The sequence below is a fragment of the Homo sapiens genome, chromosome 6, assembly GCF_000001405.40.
Source record: "Homo sapiens chromosome 6, GRCh38.p14 Primary Assembly".
Classification (NCBI taxonomy): Eukaryota; Metazoa; Chordata; class Mammalia; order Primates; family Hominidae; genus Homo; species Homo sapiens.
This window is the reverse complement of record NC_000006.12, coordinates 75,452,871-75,475,879: the sequence shown is the minus strand read 5'-3', so window position 1 is coordinate 75,475,879 and position 23,009 is coordinate 75,452,871. Positions and strand designations below refer to the sequence as shown.

General features: G+C 36.2%; 1 protein-coding gene, 1 long non-coding RNA gene and 2 pseudogenes across 8 annotated transcripts in view; 2 read left to right on the top strand and 2 right to left on the bottom strand.

Moving 5' to 3' along the window:
• Positions 1-23,009, top strand: part of FILIP1 (filamin A interacting protein 1) — a 201,942-nt gene that overhangs the window by 17,921 nt on the left and 161,012 nt on the right. The window contains exon 2 of one of the 7 annotated variants that reach the window (NR_110608.3): positions 18,960-19,490. The exons of 4 other annotated variants lie outside the window; for them this stretch is intronic. Coding sequence is in view for 1 of the 3 variants with exons in the window: in NM_001289987.3 (NP_001276916.1) it covers positions 21,896-21,898 (3 nt within the window). In the remaining 2 variants the exon portion in view is untranslated. Of the gene's footprint in view, positions 1-18,959; positions 19,491-21,732; positions 21,899-23,009 lie in introns of those variants that run through there. 2 more of the 7 variants (XM_047418647.1, NM_001289987.3) reach the window with 2 other exon arrangements.
• Positions 1,986-2,142, top strand: RNU1-34P (RNA, U1 small nuclear 34, pseudogene; annotated as a pseudogene).
• Positions 10,110-10,768, bottom strand: UBE2V1P15 (UBE2V1 pseudogene 15; annotated as a pseudogene).
• LOC101928540 (uncharacterized) overlaps positions 16,980-23,009 on the bottom strand; it is a 75,715-nt gene continuing 69,685 nt past the window's right edge. The window contains exons 5-9 of the long non-coding RNA NR_125859.1: positions 22,794-22,884; positions 20,879-21,023; positions 20,572-20,703; positions 17,644-17,718; positions 16,980-17,175 (exon numbers count right to left, since the gene is read on the bottom strand). This is a non-coding gene — a long non-coding RNA (uncharacterized LOC101928540). The remainder of the gene's footprint in view (positions 17,176-17,643; positions 17,719-20,571; positions 20,704-20,878; positions 21,024-22,793; positions 22,885-23,009) is intronic.

Genomic DNA, 23,009 nt, shown 5'->3' with positions numbered 1-23,009 from the left:
TGAGTGCTTCCTACCATATTAGGAACTGTGCTAAATGCTTTATGTGCACGAGATGACTATTATCATTTTCATTTTATGGATATAATCATACTGTTTTTTGAATTCTTCCCTAAGACATGATCTAACCTCTTGTCAACTAAAATTTGGGCTTGTCTAAAACCTCAGCTATGTAGGTTTTTACAGAATGAGGTGAGGCTCATAAAATAATTTTTTTCCTAATAGATTTTCTAATACTTGATAGTTTTGATTTGTATACAAAATTCACTATGAAATTAAAAAATCTACCCACAAAGATATTATCAGAGTAAAAAATGTGAGCCACGTTTAGTCTTTTTAACTTTCTAAACCTCAGAAAGATTTTTTATTGTTTTAATAACAACATCATCATAATATAATAAGATGCTGTGCTGTCCTTTGTAGGGAATGGTGGAACAAGGGATGATGGCTACCCATCATAAATACAACCAGTACTGTGAGCTGATTTCAGGAGAGGAATTGAGCATCCATTATTTCCTGCCAGATTGCTCTCAGGATTATCGGGAAATAAATATTTCCTTGTGGAAGGCTAACTGCTCTTAGAGCAAATCTTCGATCTTTACCTGTGTCTCTGGAACTACTTCACTGACCAGCCCAGACTATGTGTGATTTATAATTCAAATAAGCATTGATTTATATTTAAGATATGCTTTATTGAAAAATTTTAATTATACTCACTTTAAGTTAGAGATCAATTAAACCTTTATTAGTCCATTCTCGCATTGCCATAAAGACATGCCTGCAACTGAGTAATTTAAAAAGAAAAGAGATTTAATTGGCTCATGGTTCTGCAGGCTGTGCAGGAAGCGTGATGCTGGCATATGCTTGGCTCTTGGGGAGGCCTCAGGAAATTTATAATCATGGCGGAAGGTGAAGGGGGAGTAGGCATGTCACATGGCCAGAGCAGGAGCAGGAGAGAAGGGGGTGGGGGGTGCCACACACTTTTAAACGACCAGCTCTCATGAGAATTCCATCACTATTGCAAGGACAGTACCAAGGTGATGGTACTAAACTGTGAATGAGAAACCACCCCCATGATCCAGTCACCTCCCACCAGGCTCCACCTCCAACACTGGGGATTACAATTTAATATGAGATTCGAGTGGGGACACAGCTCCAGACCATATCAAAACTTTTGTCTGATATCTTCTTTAAATACCTAATGAGTATAATAGTTTCATGGAAAAAGGAAGCTCTGGGGAACCTAATGTACAGCTCACTCACTGCTGTCATGTCAACTGCAGACCTCCCAAGCAAGCACTGCTGGAAGAAAAAAAGAACTAGCATCTCAGTTCTTTTGGTCCCTCTGTTTGCATACACTGACTGTTCTTCAAGGGAAGAAGCAAGACCCATTGTCGGGTCTGACATATGGCTACTTACTAGTTACTTCCTCCTTCACTTCCAGTCCTCTGGTAGTAGGAGGTGGTAATAAAGACAGCATGGATGTTTAACTGAATCACAGGTATATGATTGTAGCATTATTGTTACAGTGAAAAGTTAGAAACAAATATATGTTTAATAATAGGGCACTATTAACCAAGGAAAGGTGAGATTTGAATAGCTCTTAATACATCCACTTAATGACAATCTGCAGACATAAAATGTGAGAGTAAATGATATTAATAAAATAATATATTCAGTAAAAATAAATGCATTACAGAAAGTATCTTTAAGATTCTATTGCAAAAATAAGAAGACTATATTTCTAACATTAACGGTAACCATTTCCATTTGGAGATATAAATGTGTGATTTTAAATTTCTACAGTAAGCATGAACTACATTTAATAAGGAAAAGAGCTGAAGCTATTTCGAAATAATTTAATGGATCAGTTCACATGGCCAAATAGATAAGAAATACTCTATTTAAACTCAAAATTTAGTAAGATATTCTCTAGAGGTCATAGTGCCAAAATTGTATGTGTGTATGTTTATACCCTTACCTTCGTCCTAAAAAATTTGAAAACCATGATCATGAAGGTGGTTTTCCCAGGGCGAGGCTCATCCATTGCACTCTGGATGTGCTGACTCCTGTGGTTTCCCCAAATGTGGGAAACTGAGTTGCATAATTTGTGGTAGTGGGGGTCTGCGTTCGTGCTTTCCCCTTAAAAAAAGTTTTCATATAGATTTGGTAGAGATTGTTATACGTTGTCCCAAATAAAACTGTGTCTTTATGTTTTTAAATAAAACATTTCTTAGTTAGCGTATGCATGGACATTTTGCTTTCCCATGAGTGAATTTGTTTCATTGTGTTTTTTAAAAATGGAACAGTCACATATTTACAGAAAAGCTGGAAGCACAGACAAAGGCTTTTTTTTTTCTTGAAACACTGGAGAGTAATTTCTGATCTGATGTCTCGTGTTTCTTTAGTTGGATCACCTACAAACAAGGATATTCATCTGTATAACTACAACACTAGCATCAAGGTTAGGAAGTTAACATTGATACATCAGTATCATCTAATACTCAGAACCCATTCAAGTTTCTCAGTTGTCCCAGAAATGTCTTATATAGTGAAGTAATTTATTTCAGAATCACACATTACACTTAGTTGTGTCTCTTTATCTCACTCTGTAACATTTCCTTAGCCCTTCCTCTTTGACCCTTTAAAGTCCTATAATATTATTGTGTCATAAATAAGCACTTTGAGGTATCAAAGTAAATGATCCTTCCTCAAGATTGTCCATAAAGTCAAAAAGCAACATATGATCTTCTCAAATTTAGTCAGTTTGAAAGTAGCCAGACCTGGTTTCATATGCACACTCTGCAACTGAAAAAGTCTTTGCTCTACCATACCCACAGTCTTCCCTCTAGAGTATAGACCTTAATTAGAAAGGTAGAAAAATATTGAAATAGGTGATGAGAAGAGAAAAGTAAAAATATGGCTAAGAGAATTTGAGATTTCGAAATGTGCTGTTTCTTTCAATCTTTATGAGGCTTAAGATGGGGTTTTTGGAAGACGTAATATTTAGGACATACTTTACATTATGTCTCTGTGACTAATATATGTGTTGTGGAGATAATTTGATGCTTTTGGTTCTTTAAATATTTCTTCTTAAATAAATCCATTCAGTCCATTAACCATAGTTAATGTTTTCCCACTGGTTTGTACATGTCATAGTTAAAGACCAATGTAGACTAGCGGGGAAATAGAAAAAGAAAAATTAGTACATTCATGAATTATTCTCTGTTCTACTTTAGACAAGTTAATTTTCCTTAAATTATCAGGTTCCATCTTAATCATAGGCCATTTGTGGTTATCAAGAAATAAATGTTTGTATGTTTGGCCTTCACAGTCTTACATTTCCCACTAAAAGCCAAATTCAATTAGTCCTTTAACATCTTATCACAAAACATGCAATGTGGGAATCAAAATTTTTAAAAAATGGATAATTCTTAGATTTATAAAATTGTTCTCCCAATGAATATTAATAAGACTTGAGGAAGACTGTTCTATTAAATTAACATTCAAATGTTATAATTATATTAAGAGGGTAACTCTTATTTCCAGAATAATCATTTTAGAAATTAAAGAGCACTTATATCATAGCACCCTGGGTGGGTAAATGAAACTTCATCCAAAACATGGCCCCCAAAAATAAAGACCCACCCAAGATTACCTTTCATTTTTTAAGACCAGAGAGTAAAGGATTATACTCCTGTGGTATGACATGCAGTATCTTTGGATTTTCCAGTAATATGAATGAAAAGAAGAAATAGCTTAGATTTTATAAAGACTGTTGTTTCACTAATTTCACCAGTTTAAAGCAAATTGCTTGCAGTACTTTGTAATTATAATTTGTACATTAAAAATTTAAATTACGTTAGTAATAGAGTCTCCTTATAAAAAATTATAACTTTACAGATCAAGCTGAAGTACCCTTTGATTATTCCCCTCTCCAATGCCCCTATCTTAGTCTTCTCTCTAGAAATAGTCACTGTTAACAATATAATGTATATGCTTCCAGACTTCTCCACAGCATTGCTCACAGAAGAGATATCTATGTATGTATTTTAGCATAAATGATATATACATTATTTCACCTAACAACATGACTTAGACATTTTTTCAGTACACATAGGTTCACTTCATTTTAGAAAATTGCAGCATGGTCTTCCATAGAAAGGATGCACAATTATTTCTTTCGCCATTCCTGATTTTGTGAATATTTAGGTTGTTCTGAATTTTTCACTGTTACAAATAATATTATGATGAAGATTGTTGTACTTGCTTCCTCAATATCTACTCCAACAGTTAGTTGACTCTGAGGTAGATACTAACAGTAGAATTTTGAGGTGACAGGATATGCAAAATTATCCGTGAATGCGCAATACTTATATTTAAATTCCCTTCAGCAGTGTATAAATATACTTATTGAATTTAAATTTGAATTTCTTCCATCACAGTGAGGTTGAGTGCTAGTTTATATAAATCTTGATTATTTTTATTAGTTCTTCTGTGAGTTACCAGTTTATACTATTGGTCTATTTTTCAAATAGATGATTCTTTTCTTTCTTTAAATGATTTATTGATTCTAATCCTTTATTATTATTTAGGTTGAAATACCTTCTCCTAGTACTTGTTGAAATACCTTCTCCTAGTACTTGTCTTTTCACTTTTATACTCCTGTGGTTGATGTAGTAAAACTCATTATATTTTCTTTTTTTTTTTTTTTTTTTTTTTTGAGACAAGGTCTTGCTCTGTCACCCAGGTTGGAGTGCAGTGGTGTGATCTCCGTTCACTGCAACCTCCACCTCCCGGGTTCAAGAGATCCTTCCACCTTAGCTTCCTGAGTAGCTGGGACTACAGGTGTTTACCACTATTCCTGGCTAATTTTGTTATTTTTAGCAGAGATGGGTTTTGCCATGTGGCCTAGGCTGGTCTTGAACTCCTGGGCTCAAGCAATCTGCCTGCCTCTGCCTTCCAAAGTGCCGAGATTACAGACGTGAGCCACCTGGCCTGGACTCATTATATTTTCTTTTATGGCTTTTGCTTTTTGTGTCTTATTCCAGAAGGTCTTCCTGACTCTAAGGCACCACATATTTGCCTACATTTTCTACTAATAATTTCTTATCATTAAAAAATTTTAAGTCTTAACTACAATTTTGTGAACAGTGTAAGATAAAATCAAACTTTTATTTTTTAAAAAGGGATAGCTAGTTAGTCTCATTGATTTGAAATGCCATACCATTATTTTCCCATTGATTTGAAGTTCCACTTTTATCATATTTCATCAACATATGTGTTCTATAGATACAGGCATACATATATACATACATATTTATCATTTAAATAAACATATTGGTTGGTTCTATGATTATTCCTCATTTTACAGACAAGGAAACTGAGGCACAGAAATATCAAATAACTTGCCCAGCCACACATAGTCAAGAAATAGTGGAGCAAAAAATAAAACCTGTGGATCTAGATTTAGAGTCTGTGGCCTTATTGACTATACTTTCTATAAATTTTCTGTTTGTGAGTCTGTTTTTTGAACTCTATTCTGTTTCTTCAAACTACTTGTGTATTGTTGCATTAATTCATTAATTTCCTTCCCAATTACATTTTAAAAACAATCAATGGCAATATATAGAAAAGTCGTTGATTTTTTTATGTTGTTTTTGTTTCTTGCTATCTTGCTGAACTCTCTTCTTAGTTATAGAAGTTTTTCCTTTGATTATCTTGAGCTTTCTATCATTTTCTCTGTAAATAATAACAGTTTGCCCCTTGTTTTTCAACATTTATACAACTTACTATGGTTTTACTTAATTCCATTGGCTAGGATGTCCAGTCTAATGTTGAATAGTAACAGTAGCAGTGGGCATTCTTGTTCTGTTTTTGACCTTACAGACAATATGTCTAATAAATATCATGTTTGCTGTATTTTGGGGTAGATACTCTTTATTATATTAAGGAAGTTTCTTTTTGTTCTTAGTTTTTTCCCACATAAACAGATGCACACACGAGTGTATCACATATACACACATAATCACAATTGTCTTTGGGCACCTGTTGAAACTGTTTCTCTCCTAAATCATATGACTAAGTTAGCCAGTTATATTGGATTATATTGGTTGTTCATTATTAAAAAGCTATATTTTGTATTCCTGGGATAAACCTTACTTGATCATAGTGCATTATTCTTTTAATTAATTGCTGGATTTAAATTTCTAGTATTTTATTTAGCAATTTGCATCTATGTGAGATTTGCTATGGTTTTCTTTCCTTATGCAGTCCAGCTTGAAATTTTTAAAAAGCTAATGCACATTCTTAAAAGCTAATCCTTTTAAGAATTCAAGCTAATGCACATTCTTTTTTATTTTTTAAAGGGTTGGTCAGAGTTGCCTATGAAATTCTGTGGACCTGATTAAATTAGGGGAGAGGGGAGTATATTTGAATACCATTTCAAGCTTTTTCTGTCTTTGTTGGATTGATTTTATTTTCTTCTACTTTTTTGTGATAGTGTAAAAATTATAAATTGTATTTGTGTTTTTCTACTAAATGCTATTCAATTAGCACTTGAATGAAATATATTTTCTAGTAATATTCAGAATTGGTCAGTGTCTCTCTACATTTATTAAACAAAACCAAAAATTTTTGTATGCTTTAATTTTACTTAAGTATTCCTTCCCATTTCAATTCCCTTCCATATTGACCTAATTTGGAAGTTTATTCTACATTGTTACTTTAAAAATTCCTATCGTTGTTTTAAAAAATCAACACTTATCTAGAATTAATAATAGAATTTAATGGATTTTTTGTTCACCATTATTTTTCAGAACTTCCTTATTATTATAATATTCATTTTTATTTTGGTTGGCAAAATTATATCAAAGAATTACTGTGAGTGGTAAAGTTTCTGGTTCCTTCATGTTTCATTTTCATTCTTGAATGATAGTTTGGTTGGATATAAAATTGCAGGTTTAACTTTTTTTTCTTGCTCCTTTGATTTTATTCATTTGTTAACAAGAAAATTGTATCAGAGATTTTGTTTTTTCTTTCCCAAAGATTTTAGTATTTGTTTCCTTTATTCTTGGTTTGGGAAATATTAATATAATATCTAGGTATAGGTTATTATTTAAATTTATCTTACTCAGAACTTGGTTGGACCTTAAATTGTGACTAAACTAATGTATATGTTACCTTCCTTCCATTCCTGCTAATATCTTAGTAACTCCAATTGGGTGGATGATGGAGCATTTGAGTCTATTTTACATAATTCCTAACTTTTATTTTATACTTTATATCTGTTCATCACTTTTTATTGCATTCTGCAAGAAATGTTTGGATTAATATTACAGGTCAGCAATTTGTTCTTTGTGTCCATTCTCATTTGACCTGCTTGTCGAGTATTCTATTTAAAAGATCAATATTTCAATACGTGTACTTTCTAATTGATTATTTTCTGTGGATTTAATATCCTCTCACATATCTCTGTGGATATGACTTGTAATTATTCTGAAGTCCTTTTCTGACATTATTAATTACTGGCTGTAAGTTCTTCATGTTTTGAAAACAAAGAACTCTATTATATTTCTTTTTAATGGTATTGGCCTTACTCCAACGCTAAGTGACTCCTGAGTGTTCATCTTTTAGCTGACACTCCTTATTAGGCTCTTTGTTCTATGTGCTCCGGCAGGCTGCTTAGAGAGAGGGACCAGATTTGCTGCTGGAACTTGTATTTCAGTCTGTTTTCAAGAGTGTATGGGAGGGGATGAGGATGCCCCTGGCGTCACAGACTAGCTCCTGGTAGGGGAGGGGCTGTCTTATTCCTATTGGTAGCTCCAGCTATTCAGGGCATCCAGGATGCTGCTTTGTTTCTCTGATTCAAGCTTCCATACCTTTGACTCCCAGCTGGAAGCAATAACTCCTGTTGCTACTCTTTGACTCCAAATGTGGCCTAAGTTGGTAGAGGGAAGGTGCACAGTTCAACCTTGCTGTTCCTACTGCTCTCCTGTAACAAACACTGTCTGTTGTCTTAGGCCTCCCTCTTGTCCTTCGTATCCATTCCCAACATTTATTAGCAGCACTCTCCTATTCTTGTTTTGAGCTGGTTTTAAATCCTCCTTCTAATACCACCTGCTTTCTGTCTTCCAATGTCTTCTCAAAGTTTATATGGTCCTCCAAAGCTTGATACTGTTTCCCAGCTATATGCATTAAAAAATTCGTTCTAAAATTTTGAGATTTCTAGTGGGAAAAGGAGACCACAATCTATTTCCGTTCTACCACCTTGAAATGGAAACCAGTGTGTAATCTTCAAAACCTTGGGAGGATGTTTTGAAAATGAGTTTAGCAGACCAGTTTGCAGGACTGCCATTTATGGTTGTGTATGCTGCTCACTGTATGAAGGCATCCAGCTGAGGAGGTAGCCGAGAGCTGAGAGCAAGTACACTGTTTCTTCCCATCTGTCAGAGAGCAACTGAGAGGCAGGAGGGACCCTTTCTTTCTAATTCACACAAGGATGTCCTGTGGGTCAGCAGTCACCCTAGTCATTTGAGCTTTAAATTACGTTATGTATGATGATGATTCTGCACATGTATACCTAGGTCAAAATGCATCAAATTATTCATTAGAAATATGCATAGTTCCTTCTACATCAATTATACTTCAATAAAGCTGGAAAATAAAGTAAAAAAAGTAAAAGAAATTTTATTGTGCAAGTAGTAAAGTGTGTAAAATGTTCTGTTGGATTTAGAGGATAAATTTTTAAGGTTTCATATTTTACAAATTGGTCAAGATGATATAAAAGCTTTATCTTAGTTGACAACAATAATTCTAAAAGAAGATGCATTCATGAACAGGATAGTTAAAGGAGAAAAGAGAGTTAAAAGGAGACAGTAACTAGCTGTTAATAACCTTTTCTGATAAACAAAGTGGTATAGTTAACAATCTGCCTTGGATATCCTAGGGAAAGCCCCAGGTAGAGAGGCAGAGGGATGAACTAAAGCTGTGCTGCCCAATACAGTAACCACATGTGGCTATTCAAATTTAAATTAATCAACATAAAATAAAATAGAAAATGGAAATTAGGTTATTCAATCATATTGCTCTATTTCAAGTGTTCAGTAGTTCCATGTGACTAGGGGCTACTGTACTAGACAGCACAGATACAGACTAGTTCTGTCATCACAGAAAACTCTATTGGAGAGCACCGACCTAGTTGATCTCTTAATCTAGGTCCTCTACATACCAATAGTTTTACCTTTGTAGATTACTACATTAAATGTAATCCCAGATTTTAATTGCCAAGGGGTCTAACAGAAGACAGAATATGGGTCCATACTGGGTGCAGAATAGGCATTCAGGAATCAATAATGTTGATTGGTGATCAATAACGTTGTTTGGAATCAATAACGTTGTTGATGAATGGATACATGAATGAAGCTAGCAGTTAATTCCCACTATTTGATAAAACACTGCATTCATTTATCCATTCATTAACTCAAGAAATATTTATCAAATGCCTACCACTTGCCAGGTACTGGTTCAGGCACTTGATCAGGAAAGTGAACAGACCAAGATTATTTCCCTTCTGGAGTTTACATGCTGGAGCATGGGGTAAATATTGTAAATAATAAGCATAATAAATAAGTAAATCATATCACAAGTGTTAAGGTGATAAATACTATGAAAAATAAAAAATAAATTAGGGTAAGGGGAATCAGAAGTGCTGAGCGTGAGTAGGGAAATGAAGATTATAATTTTAAATAGGATGGTCAGGGAATGCCTCGTGGAGCAGGTAATGTTTGAGCAAAGACTTGAAAGAGGTGAGGAATAAGCCATGTGAATATCTGGGCAAAAAGTAAGCCAGGCAGAGAGAATAACCTGGGTGGGCCTTAAGCCGGGGACATGCTTGGCAGTTCGAGGAACAGCGCGATGGCTGGCGTGGCTGGAGCAGGTGAATGAGGGAGAGAGGAGTTGCAAAAGAGGTCTGAGAGGTAACAGATGGGGACAACAAGCAGAGTCTTGTAGACCATTGTAAGAATTTTGACTTTTACTCCTTTTGAGAAGTTTTGTTCAGCAGAGAAGGAGCATGATCTGATTTAAGTTTTTGGGTTTTTTGGTTTTATTTTTGTTATAGCACAATTTATATATTTCAAGTGGACAAAAATTAGTGTCATTTTTGGAATCTTAAGATAAATTGTCCTTGAATGGGAGCTTCCTTTCCAGTACTTTGAAGTCTATAAGATGCACCTGGAAAATATACTACTGTGGAAAATGAAGACTGCTTAAATCGAATGAGGGGATGGAGAAGAGCTTGTTTTTTTTTTTAATTGCTGTGAAACTGTCCTTCAGGCAGCTGAAGGAGTTTCATATTTTCTTTAGACATTATTAGGCACTGAAGCTCTTGCAGGACAACTTTGATGCTATATGAATTCTGCCATTTTGCTAGCATTGATATGGGTCAGTGAAATGGGTCCACCACTTCATTGGAGCTAGTAACTCCATTCAGATTAATTTATGTTACAAATCTTACAAAAGGGCTGCTTCTGGTTATTTAGGTCCACATTTTATTTTAAGGCTGTATATTCAGTTTTCATAAATTGTTCTTGGAGGCCCAATTGTTAGCCCTGTGCATCTTGTGTCATGTCTTCATCATCTTCTAGACCGCAGTTAACTGTGCCATCTCCTGCTCCTTTCTGGGCTTCTTTGAGTTCTTCCAATGGTTGGAAATTGTAAGGGACTTTTGCTCCAGAGCCCATGGTAGCTGCCATTTTGTGTTGCTCTTGCTCCTTGACTTAAGTTTTGAAAGGTGAAGTTTAGCTCCTGTGTTAAGAAGGCATCGTAGTAAGCCAAAGACAGAAGCAAGAAGGCTGGCTGGAGGCTGTTGCATTATCTAGGTTGAAGATGATGGTGGCTAGGTCCAGGGTGGTAGCAATAGTAATAGTGAAAAGTGGTCATATTCTGGATATATTTTCTATGTTGAACTATAAAATTTCTGGATGGGTTGGATGTGGATGTGAGAGAAAAGGAAGAGTCAGAGTTTCAGCCTAGCAACTAAAAGGATGCAGTCAGCATTAATGGGGGTGGGGAAGGCTACAGGAGGACCAGATAGCGGGTAAGACCAGAAGTTGAGTTTTGAACATGTTAAGTTTGAGATGTTTATTAAACGTAGAAGTAGAAGAGTTGAATGAGTTGCTGGATATACAGGTGCAGATTTGGGAGAATAGTATGAAGTTAAAATAGGGTTACTAACAGGTAAGCAAATATATTCTTTGTTAATGAACCAAAGTCTTTGTACATCAGAAGGTAGAATTGGCTGGCTGTGAGTTCAGGTAAAAATAACATTTTGTTCTTAGCATGAGCTAAGAGACCTGTTAACAAATTTTGCTTTGCAAACATTTACAAAATGTTCAGGCATTAAATTCAGTTTTAAAAAGGAAATATTTCCTGCATACATTGATGTTTAGTGTGCAGAGTTTTTCTGTGATTTTCACAAAGCACTTGAGCATTTTTGTTAATATCAACGCTATGTTAGGACAAATGCTGGTATTATTTTCTCCCAGGCCCATAATATTTTTAGCAGTTAAACCCAAATCACTGTACTTTAAATAGACTTCATTTACCACTGCAGCATAAATAATCTATTTTTAGTCACTGGAAAGAAAATCTTGATGTTAATTTAAAAGAAGGAAATAATAAAATGTAAGTACTTGAGTATTAGGCCTGAGTCTATAAAAACAAGTTAATCAAAATTGTGGAGCATTATAATCTTAAAAGGATGACGTCAAGGGTCTGATGTCTTGGATTCTTAAGGACAGACATGGAACAGTCCAACATCTGTGCCAGAATGACCTCTGTGAAGCATAATATTTCCTTCTAAATATTTAGACATCATGATAGTTTTTCATGGTTTTGATTCATAAAATATGGATTTTTTAAAAGCCACAGAAGCATAGCAATTTTTTTCAGCTGTCCCCCTACCATCTCTACCTTCCTTTTAACCCCTATTAACTCCTAATATGAACAATTCAACTAGAACCTTCTTTCAGAAACATGACCATCTACAAACATCTCTGGATAAGGAAATAAAATGACAAGGAAAAAGTTCACTGACTCTGAGCTGGTCATGAAATCTAAAGGTATTAATATGAATAAACTAAGATAAGAAACATCAGATAGCTTGTTGTGGTTTAACTTCATGGCTTTCATAATGCTTTTACTATATTTTTCTCTTGTTAAGACTCTGGCTGTTTTCTAGGTCAAATATATTCTAGTGACCTATGCTGTGCAAAGAACCCTTATTTTATGATATCCAGAAAACTGTTTTGGAAGTCTCAGAGGAATCATGTGAGTTAACATAGGAAACTCATTCAGTCTGTTTATTTTCAGCTGATTTGCTTTCTTAATTGAGTAATCCAAAACTGGATATTTATGTAAAAGAAAAGATATTTTGCTATGTTTATACTTGAGCATAATTAGCTAGTTATTTTTCTTTCTCTTTAGTTTTACCGCCACTACACACAAACACGGTAATCAATTAGGTTATAATAGAACAAGATAATTCAATGGCTTGGTTGTTTATTCTGTACATTGAATGCTAAATGGAAACAAAATTTATGTTGAATATATGAAATTTTTTCTTTCCATGAGATTAGAAGTTAGGGAAAGGGGGGTATGGGGCACAATAGTGGGCTTTACTTTGTGCGCTGAGAGCAGCAATTCTAAGATCCGCACATACGCCAGAACATGGAACTAAACTCAGACTCTTTGGCCCTTTGCTCACAGATATGTCCTTTCTTGCTAATCTGTTTACTCTCTACCAAGAGCCAAGTGTATCATCTTCACATTTCTTGCATATATTGTGCTCATTTTCCATTCTGTGGCCACTGTGAAGACTTCAGGTATAGATGAAGTTATGTGACTGAAAAATAAACATCTGAGTAGCTACAGTCTTTGACCCCTCTTCCCATTCCCCTATCCCAGACTTTCCCACCTCCACTTAACTGCTCTTGGGCCACTGTGGTTATGAGGGAGGTAGTGGAGAAGTGGAGATGATAGAAAAGTGGTTTCTTTGGAATGAGTAAAGGGATGGGGGCAGCTTGTATAGAATGACCCATCTCTGCACCCCCAGAAAGCAATGGCTTAACAGGAGAGTAAACACAGACTGGGCAGTGGGCTTGGCTTGAGTTTGAGAGATAATTTTCTAGAGCTTAGAGAGAGGAAGGAAAGAAATTTGTTGAAGCAGCTGCTGTACACAGCTATAGCAATACTTATCAATATGTATAGGTATATGTATGTGTGTGTATATATATATACACACACATATATGAGATTTAATTTGTAAGATTTAATAAGATTTAACCTTATTTGCAATTATTTTTTATTATCAGCAAGATTTATATTAATGTGGTACATATCAAGATGGGCAAACTAGTTCTTTACAGCTGTTATCTGTCCTGATTGGGTCAGTGTCTCTTCTGTTTAGCCAGTGACCCTGCCATTCCAGTTGTGCAGCCTCTCCGCTGCAATTCTCTGGGCCTCCTCACAATCCAGAAGACAAAGGGGTCAAGCTTTGTGCCTCAGAGGGCCTCCAAGTCATTTCAGCACTATAGCTGGCATCCTCAGAAACTCACTTCAGCACCATAGCTGACATCCATTCTGATTGGTTGTTAAATATTTAAAATCCCACCTCTGATTGTGATCTATCTGGAGCTGGGCCCTAAAGAGATGAGATACTTAGAAAGGGCAAGTCCATGTGGGCTTCATAGTTGGTAGGGGAAGAAAGAGAGGTGGTAAGAAGTGTGGAAATAAAAATGGGGCATGAAAAGGAGACTGAAGGGTGTGGGAAGAGAGGTGAAGACACACTGCTGAAGAAGGGCACTGTGAACAAGTGTGGCCTACATCTGGATGGCCTGGGGCAGCCATGCCTTTGCTTTTCATGCCTCACTTTTCAAGTGAGGACCTGTCCTTGCTTGAAAGTTGTGTAGGCACCTTTGAGAAAATACTTCCTATTGCCCCCTCTGAGCACGCACACCCCATCCTCTCTTCTCCTAAGCGCCTGTGTTGCATGCACACACTTCGCCCTTGTTCAAGCGGTGCTTAATAAGAATTCTTGAATGTTTGCTTTCTAATGTGTATGTCCAGGCAACTTCATGCAGTGAATCTGGAAATAACCTAATTTATCGCCTTCATTTTGCAAATGAGAGAATAAAATGGGTCTAAAGAAATCAAATAATTGCTGTATATCCCTCAAATCCAGGGATGATTCTCCTACTAACATTGTAGGTCTCAAACTGCAGGTTTCCTGAGGGAAACTATGTTACAAATCAGGACAAACTTCTCAATTTGTTCTGTGCTTTGAGAACAATGGACTTTGTTTTTTTCTTTACTTATGAAAACTTAGAAAAATATTCAAATATTACATTGACTGAAAAAAATCCATATGACCACATTAAAAATATATACGTGAACATAAGTTTAGGCAAAGGAAAAATTCTATGCCCAAGCCAATAAATTTTCTTCTATGGTGTCATGAGAGGCAGTTAAAGAATAGACTCTGGATCCCAAATTGCTTAGGCTCAAATTTTAGCAGAGCAATATTTAACAAGTTACTTAACTTCTCTCTGCCTTGGATTCCTTGTTTGTAAAACTGAGAATAATGTACCATTTTATAGAGTGGGTCTGATGATTATGCAAGATGATTTAGCTTAGAGCAATGCCTAGCACATAGTAGGGCTGCTTGTATTGTTATTATCACAGTTTTTGTGGGCTGAGGTTTTTTACAGCCCAGATTCAGAGAGTAAGAGGAACTTGATTTCCTTCAAATCAGATTTGATAAGTACAAAAGTGAAAGGTCAGATAGAGAGGGAGGTCGTGTGGGTTATTATAGTAAACAATAAATCCTACTTGAGTTATGTACCCAATATGTTAGCTACAGAAAAATTTGAAAGAACTAAACGTTTTGTTACAAATCAGCTTGTTTGGGCCAGTTCTATTTTTATCAGCATGTCTTATCTCTCTTATAAGCAAATCATGTCCAATCAAAGCCAGAAAAAAACAAAGCTAACAAGTATTCTGACTCAACACATTTTTTTGTAACACTCAGAAAGCTCAGTCTTTTACAGTCTTTTGGCCATATTGTCTTGGTTATCTTCTGAGATGAGATGCACAAAAACCTATAATGAGGACTAAGGCTCACATTGGAATCTCAGAAATAGAGGCTAAATTACCATTTCCAAAAGGGGAACTTTTCACCTCAGTATTAAATCAAGCCTCAGAAGAAAATGAAAGTTATTATTAGTTATTCTGAGTTATTTTACTCTAAGACGGCTGAAATTCCTAGATATCTACTTTGTAAAATAATTTATTGATCCCAGATTCTCAACTACAGAAATGATTCAATATCTAATATTACTCCTATAAAAATTTAGCTGTCTACTTTAGAATGTAATAGATTTTTCCCCAAATAATATTTAGATTCTTTAAAAAATATGTTAATATGCATAAAATGACAGTAAGTCATCAGAAAGATGTATTAAGAGCCGAATACCTTTAGAATGGCAGAAAGGACTTTCTCTTCAGAGTGCTACTAAATTCTAGGGAGAGTATCTTTATCCCTTTTTAGTCTTCATATATTTGCTGAGACTTAGCAAAAATACTTTGAGGGTTCTAGTTAGCTTGATCATGCCTCACACTTCCTGAAGAAGGTTGCAGTTGTGGAGACCGCACTAAATTCCTGAAGGAGTTCCAACCAAAGAATCCTTAGACATGCTCCAACTGACTGGGCTGAGGAGATTTTTTGTTGTCTTTTAGGTGAAGAGCTAATGGCAGAGGGAATTATGGGGCCTCCTAGTCATAGGATCACCATTAACTTTATTGGCTCTGTTGGAGTCTTAAGTGTTTTCCCAAATAAAATGAAAATTAGAGCAGGAGTTAGTAGCCTTTCCTTTCTCAAAATAATGTCTGATTTGAATTACTTATAATTATTTAACTCACTCAAAGAGATTAATGTAAATATTTGAGAAACTGCCTCCCAGGAAACAGAGAAATGACTTCAAGATTCTGAAAATTATCTTCTAATTCTCTTGGGAATGCAAAGTGTGTGGGTAACCTGAATATCAAGATACAAGAAATATATTTGACAATTGGAAAGACTGCTATTGAAATGCATCCCTGTTAAATCAGTGGATCAAAAAGTAACAGAAAATTATGTGTCTAAAAGGGAATGTAGATGTTAATATAAATAACAATGATAAGGTGGATGTTTCAAGAAGATATTAAAAAGGAACAGATTCAGATCTTAGTTGTACCAGGCCTGGTAAAGGCAATGTAAATGGCAAAGTCTTATTTCTTTTGAAAGTTTTGTAATGATCGGATGATAGCGCTGAAGGGACTGAGAAGGAAGGAGGAAACTCTTTTCCAATATCTTCAATAGGATATGCCCTTTTCTAAATTCATTTTTATGTTTCATGTGAAAATTCTTTTAATAGGATGAGTACTCCTTAGTTAGATAATGTGGTTAAAGCAATTACTCCTCTATAGTCCAATCCTGCCAACAATTCATACTAGTAATTAATAACATGCTGAATGAATATTTTTAATACTGCGTTTTAAAAAACTCAACTCATAATTTAAGAAAATATTTCAGTAAGCAGTGGCAGGGAATCATTGCAGACACTCACAGAAAAGAAGCAATAAAAATCGGTCTGTTAAAATAAAACCAAGCAGGATCAGAGACAGTGTATAGTGTCATTAGATTCTTAGGTCATTAGATTATCTTGGCTGGCTCTTTACTTAGATGAGCCATGTTGCTTGCTTTGGGGCCTCCAGGCAAACCTTATGTGGCAAGAATTGACGTATGAATACATTTTCAGTACACCACTTCGTGTTATTTCACAGGCCTCTGACATTTGGCTGTCCCCCAAATAATCTCTAGTAGGTTTCATCAATGCCTTCATTTTTCTTTTGTAATACTTAATAACTTCTTTGGGTAGTTTTTTTTTCTTTTGAGTAGTTTTTATTTAAGCAATTTTTCCACATCCAGGAGCAAGGAAATACTTGAATAAGGAGTTAGGCTCTCCTAAAGACTCAAACAATTTATCTTTGTAGCTCCAAGAAAAAGTAGGAGTAGGAGAGAGTAGACATGATCAGAGCTCATTCCAAGCCAGTGTTTTCACTCTTCCCTTGCTTCTTTTCCTATAAATAAAATTTGGGGTAGGGAAAAGATTTGGAAAAATATTTGAGAAAAATGTTATCCCTATTCCTCCTCTTCCTCCCAGCCGGAGACCACCTAGGGGCTTGACTGATGTTTTCTATTGGAGAAGTCTGAAGGAATCCACTCTTGGGTAGCTTAAGCGTATCTGCTTTAGTAGGCAACATTTCTGAGCCACACAGAAATGGAACCAGTTTTCTACGTTTGCCTCCAAGTTGACCAACTTTGAAATTAATTAGCTGTGAGGCTTAGAGCAAGCCACTTTAACTCCTCTAGACCTTCTGTTCTTTTCTAATAAAAAGAAGAAGAAAGAATAGACGTTCTCAAAGGTCATTCTAGATAAAGATTTCTCAATTTCAACATTATTGACATTTTGGACTGAATATTCTTTGTTGTGATGTGCTGTCGGAGGTATTGTAGAATGTTTAACAGCATCCCTGGCCTCTACCCACCTGATGCAGTAGCGTCCTTCCTAGTTTTGACATCCCCAAATGTCTCTAGCTATTGCCAGACGTCCCCCAGGGAGACTGAAAGATAAAATACAAGACACCCAGTTAAATTTGTATGTCAGATAAAGAATGAATCGTTTTATTGTATTTAATTGGACATATTTATACTAAAAACTTGCTTGTTTTTTGTCTGAAATTCAGATTTAATTGAGCATTCTGATTATTAATTTGCTAAATCTGGTAGCCTTATTGGTGGGGTGGGTGAGGTGGTGGCACAAAATTGCTCTCTCCTCCACTCCATTGAAAACCAATGTTCTAGGCAAAAAGTTTTTAAAAAATATATGGTTTTGTTCTCCTCGGAGTTTTCCATATTAGAATAATTAAAGGGATAGGCCAGACTTCCATTAGATCAGATTTTTGGAAATGTTCCTGATTGATTAATTTTGCATTCATAGATCTAGCTATTCAAAAAAGAATATTTTTCAACATTGTTAGGATAGGGATGTCACACAATGACCATTCCTTTTAGCCACTGCTGATTTCTCTCTGAGAAGGCTAAATATGTGCTTAGGGCATTGATAAAACAGAAACGAGAGAGAGAGAGAGAGAGAGAGAGAGAGAGAGAGACTTTGTTTGAAATAATTAGGTATTTTTTTAAAGCATCAGTGTAGTAGACACTATGGGAGAATTTCTAACTTTGTGGAACTTATTTTGAATTCCGTATGAAAGTGGGGTGAAGGATAATCTTTTCAGTGCCTAGGGATTTTGAGTTTCTAACCCTGGCCTGATTTCAGGACATTTTACCCCACATCAGTCATAACAGAAAGAAGGTTTGCCACAGGTAGTTCACTCCTCCTTTCTACCCTAAGCTCTTGAGCAGTTATGTATAAAGAGCAGTTCTATAAAGAAGTGTGCATGTGGAGAAGTGGATAATCAAATGAAACAGAGCTTTAGGTACATGTCTTTGTGTTGTGCCAAACTCAACACACTGCTTTTTCAATTTGAGCCAGACTCATCTGACGAATTTAGGGTCTGGCATTTTTTTATTTCCACTGGTACTTGCTGTCTTCATGATAGCATGGGGCTTGAAGACTCAACATAAGGATGAGGGAGTCATGAGGATGTTGAAACTCGTAAAATATGTCAGTGATAACTGTAAGCCTGCAGTGCTCATAGATAGTAAAGGATATAAAAAATATTTTATCATTGTTATTGATAAAGGTTTTTTCAGTGCTTTCCATAGGTATGAATTAAATGCTGAAAGAAGGCTGAACAGCATAAAATTTTTCCTCTCTTTTACAAACTTCCATATCATTTAGGAAAATAATACATGCAAATAAGAAAAAGTAACAAAGAAAATATTGGATAAAGAAAGAATATTTTTGGGAATACGATGTCTCACGCCTGTAATCCCAACACTTTGGGAGGCCGACCCGCGCGGATCACGAGGTCAAGAGATCGAGACCATCCTGGCCAACATGGTGAAACCCCGTCTCTACTAAAAATACAAAAATTAGCTGGGCGTGGTGGCATGTGCCTGTAATCCCAGTTACTCAGGATGCTGAGGCAGGAGAATCATTTGAGCCCAGGAGGGGGAGGTTGCAGTGAGCTGAGGTCGTGCCACCACACTGCAGCCTGGCAACAGAGCAAGATCAGTCTCAAAAAAAAAAAAAAGAAAAGAAAAAAGAATACTCTTTTGTATGAGTGTATGTGAAATATTAAAAATATTAAATGAAACACACTTTTATTGAAAACTTATTTGTTCTTTATCTGAGATTCCAACTTAACTGAGCATCCTGTATATTTATTTGCTAAATGTGACAAATAAATATATCTTGCAATATATGCTAGATGCCAAAAGATTGTTTAAATATTTGGTGTTCTAGGAGTTGAGAGGAGATACTGCTTCTTTCTCAATCTCAGCATTATTGGCATTTTGGGCTGGATAAATCTTTGTTGTTGGGGTGGGGGGCTGTCCTATGCATGGTAAAATGTTTAGTGGAATCTCTGGCTTTTACTCATACATGCCAGTAGTACCCTCAACCCCTTTGTGACAACCAAAAGTGTTTCCAGACATTGTCAAATGTTCCCTGGGGAGGAAAATCTCTGATTGAGAACCACTAGCCTCTTAGTGTGGAGGAAGACTTAGGAGAGATATCACTTGAGTAGGGCCTAGGAGGATGTGTGAGATTTTGCAAGAAAGAGGTAGTTTTGATGGAGAGCATTTTAGGTGAGGGAAAAGGCATAAATAAAGACGTCAAGGTATAAAAGTTGAGAGTAGGTTTGGGGTAGAGTAAGCAGATGAGTTTAACTATATAGTTATTGTTCATATGGGAAACAGTGGGATTGTGAAGTACTTTAAGAAATAGAACATATTTTGTGACTCTGCCTATGCCCACAGCAGCCTAATAGTATCTTGACCTTAGTAGCCGTTCAGTAATTCACTGGTGATTTGATTTGAAAGGTAAATGTATCAAGATAAGAAAGCCTTGAATGGAAAATCTAAGAGGTAAAAGTTTTTCTGGTGGGCAGTGGAGAGCCCTTGAAGGTTATTTGAGCAAGGGAATGGCATGACCTTGAGGAAGTCAAGCTGTTCTGGGGTTGATTGGGTTCAGTTATCTCAATGGTGAGAGAAAGGAGTTGGAATTGAGAATAGTAATAGCAATCACCTTTAAAAATTTTCCCCCCACAATTTACAAAGCACTTTGCCTGCATTTTCTAATTTGGTTGTCCCAAAAATCCAGTATCAATTTCATTAAAAATTTTTCTTCTTTAGTTATTTTTCTTCCCAACTAGCACTGATGTTTGGACATCGCAATAAAAATGAGCTTTGGATACATTTCATACCATGAAAAAAACTCTCACAATTTTATTTTTTTTTTTTGTCTTTCAAGTTGTGATGTCATCAAAGGGCCTGGGCAATTGATTTACCTTATGGGCAAAGATGGAGTTGAGTGGCACTCTGTCCTTGGCAGGGAGGAGCTTTTAAACCTGGGCTCCTCTCTGTGTCTGGGATCTGGGTTGAAAGCATTTCCTTTTGCTTCTTCAGATGAATAAGTGGCACTGTACAAGCATTAAAAGAGATGTCTGTCATATGAATTTGGCATTGTCCCCCCACCCCCCCAATCTCTTGAAAGTCTTTTTGTGGTGCCACAGGATTAGTCCTTAACCAGTCTGTTCTTTCCATCCCCAAAGAGGCCAGACAGCTTTCTTTCTAATGCTCCCACCTCCTAGGTACCCTTTCTATTTACTGTAGGATCGGATCTTATCCTGTGGAGAAGTTACATAATTTTGGGTGTTATGAGGTAATGCACGGCTCTTCTTTTTTTTCCCCTGCTCCCTCAAAACAAACATTTCTTGTTCCTTGGTTCTTCAGTGTCTGGCTGATGTTAGGACAAAGATGAGAATAAATTAGTTGATCCTACAAAAATGAAATGAGTAATTAGGAGAAAACTCAACTATGGCTAAAATTGGTTTCTGCTAATTAAAAACATTGACAAGCAAAAGATTGTCAATATGTTCCAGATTTAGTCATCAGGAAATCAGGCCTATTGTAGAAATATTTCTCATCATAAGAAAAGACATGGGACTTCACGGACTCTAATTAAATTTCTTGAATCCATAATTTTGGTTAGCAGTATTCCATTTAGTTATTCTTTGTTATTACTGTTTTTAGTTGGCAGAATAGCCCCCCTGAAGATGTCCACACCTTAATCTCTGACTCCTGTGAATGCTACATGGCAAAAGAGACTTTGTAGATGTGACTAGGGTTATGGACCTTAAGATGAGGAGATTATTTTGAATCGTCCAAGTGGGCCCAATCTAATCCCATGCATCTTTAAAAGCAGAGCATTTCATCCAGCTAGAGGGAAGAGAGATGCTGCAAAAGGGAAAATCAGAGAGATTCCAAGCATGAGAAGGACTCAATGCACTATTGCTGGTGTTGAGATGTAGGGTTCTAGTGTGAGGATCAAGGGGAGAATTTTAGGAAGTAAAGGCCTCTCCACTGACATCCATAAAAAAGCAAAGACCTCAGTCCTACAGCTGTAAGGACCATAATCCTGCTAACAACCTGAATGATCTTGGAGACAGGTTCTTCGCAGAGCCTCCAGTAAAGAACGCATCCCTGAAACACCTTGATTTTATCATTGAGAGACCCTAAGCAGAAGAAACAATTAAGCCACGCTGTATCTGGACTTCTGATCTGCAGAAACTGTGAGATAATAAATGGATGTTGTTTTAAGCCTTGAAATTTATGGTAATTTGTCATGGCAGCAATAGAAAACTAATACAGTGTTCTTTGTCATTGTTTCTGTCTTCATTAGTGGCACCATCATTGTTATGACTTATTGTGTATTTGCATCACATGACATGGCCCCAAGTACCAGGCTTTGCCACTAGATTTTAAGCCCTTAAGGACAGAGATTTTTTTTTCTCTTTCTCCCTTTCACCCTGGCCAGAGTGCTCTGGCCTGTTCATAGTTCACAGTGACCTTGAACCCCTGGGCTCAATTGATCCACCTGCACCAGCCTCCAGAGTAGCTAGGACTAGAGGTGCATAACACCAAGCTAGGCTAACTTTTTAAATTTTTTGTAGAGATGGGGTCTTGCTATGTTGCCCAGGCTGGTTTCAAACTTCTGGTCTCAAGCAATCCTCCCACCTCAGCCTCCCAAAGTGCTGGGATTACAGGTGTGAGCCACCATTCCCAGCCTTTCTCCCTCTCTTAAAAAATTTTCACCTATGTAATCTCTAGCACTTCAAACAGTTGTCTAACCCATACTATGTGCACAACAGATATTTACTGAATGACTATATAGGGCTACAAAAGAATTTTAAATATTATCCAACCCTTAGTGGAGTTTAAAAATCTAGTTGAAGCATCAAAATCTCAATTAACTTCCAAAATAGGACAATATATTTCAGTGCTAAAGGAAAGGTCTAGACAATACATATTGTAGTTTTCTAGGGGCATAGAAGTTGCAGTGGGTACAGGTGGAAATACATTTCATGGAGAAGATAGGCCTTCGGGTAAGATGACTAAAGAAGCAAAGCAAAGCAAAGGGGAGAAGGACAGGAGAAAAAGACAACAGCCTTACAACTCTGTATGGGGTAATCCAAGATGACCAGCTTAGGGTAATCCAAGATGTACTAACCTTGGCTTGAGCCTGATGGTGAGACTGCTGCGTCATCTGCAGTCCCTTGCCTTGCTGGAAATTACAGCGAACACTTTATACTACAAAACACCTATCAATGGAGACTAAGGTTTCAGTTATCAACGTTCTTGATCATTCCTTTTATTCTTCCATCTGGCTTTTTGTCTCATCAAAATATGACACCTTCATGTTAAATGGCATCATACCTTACTTTTT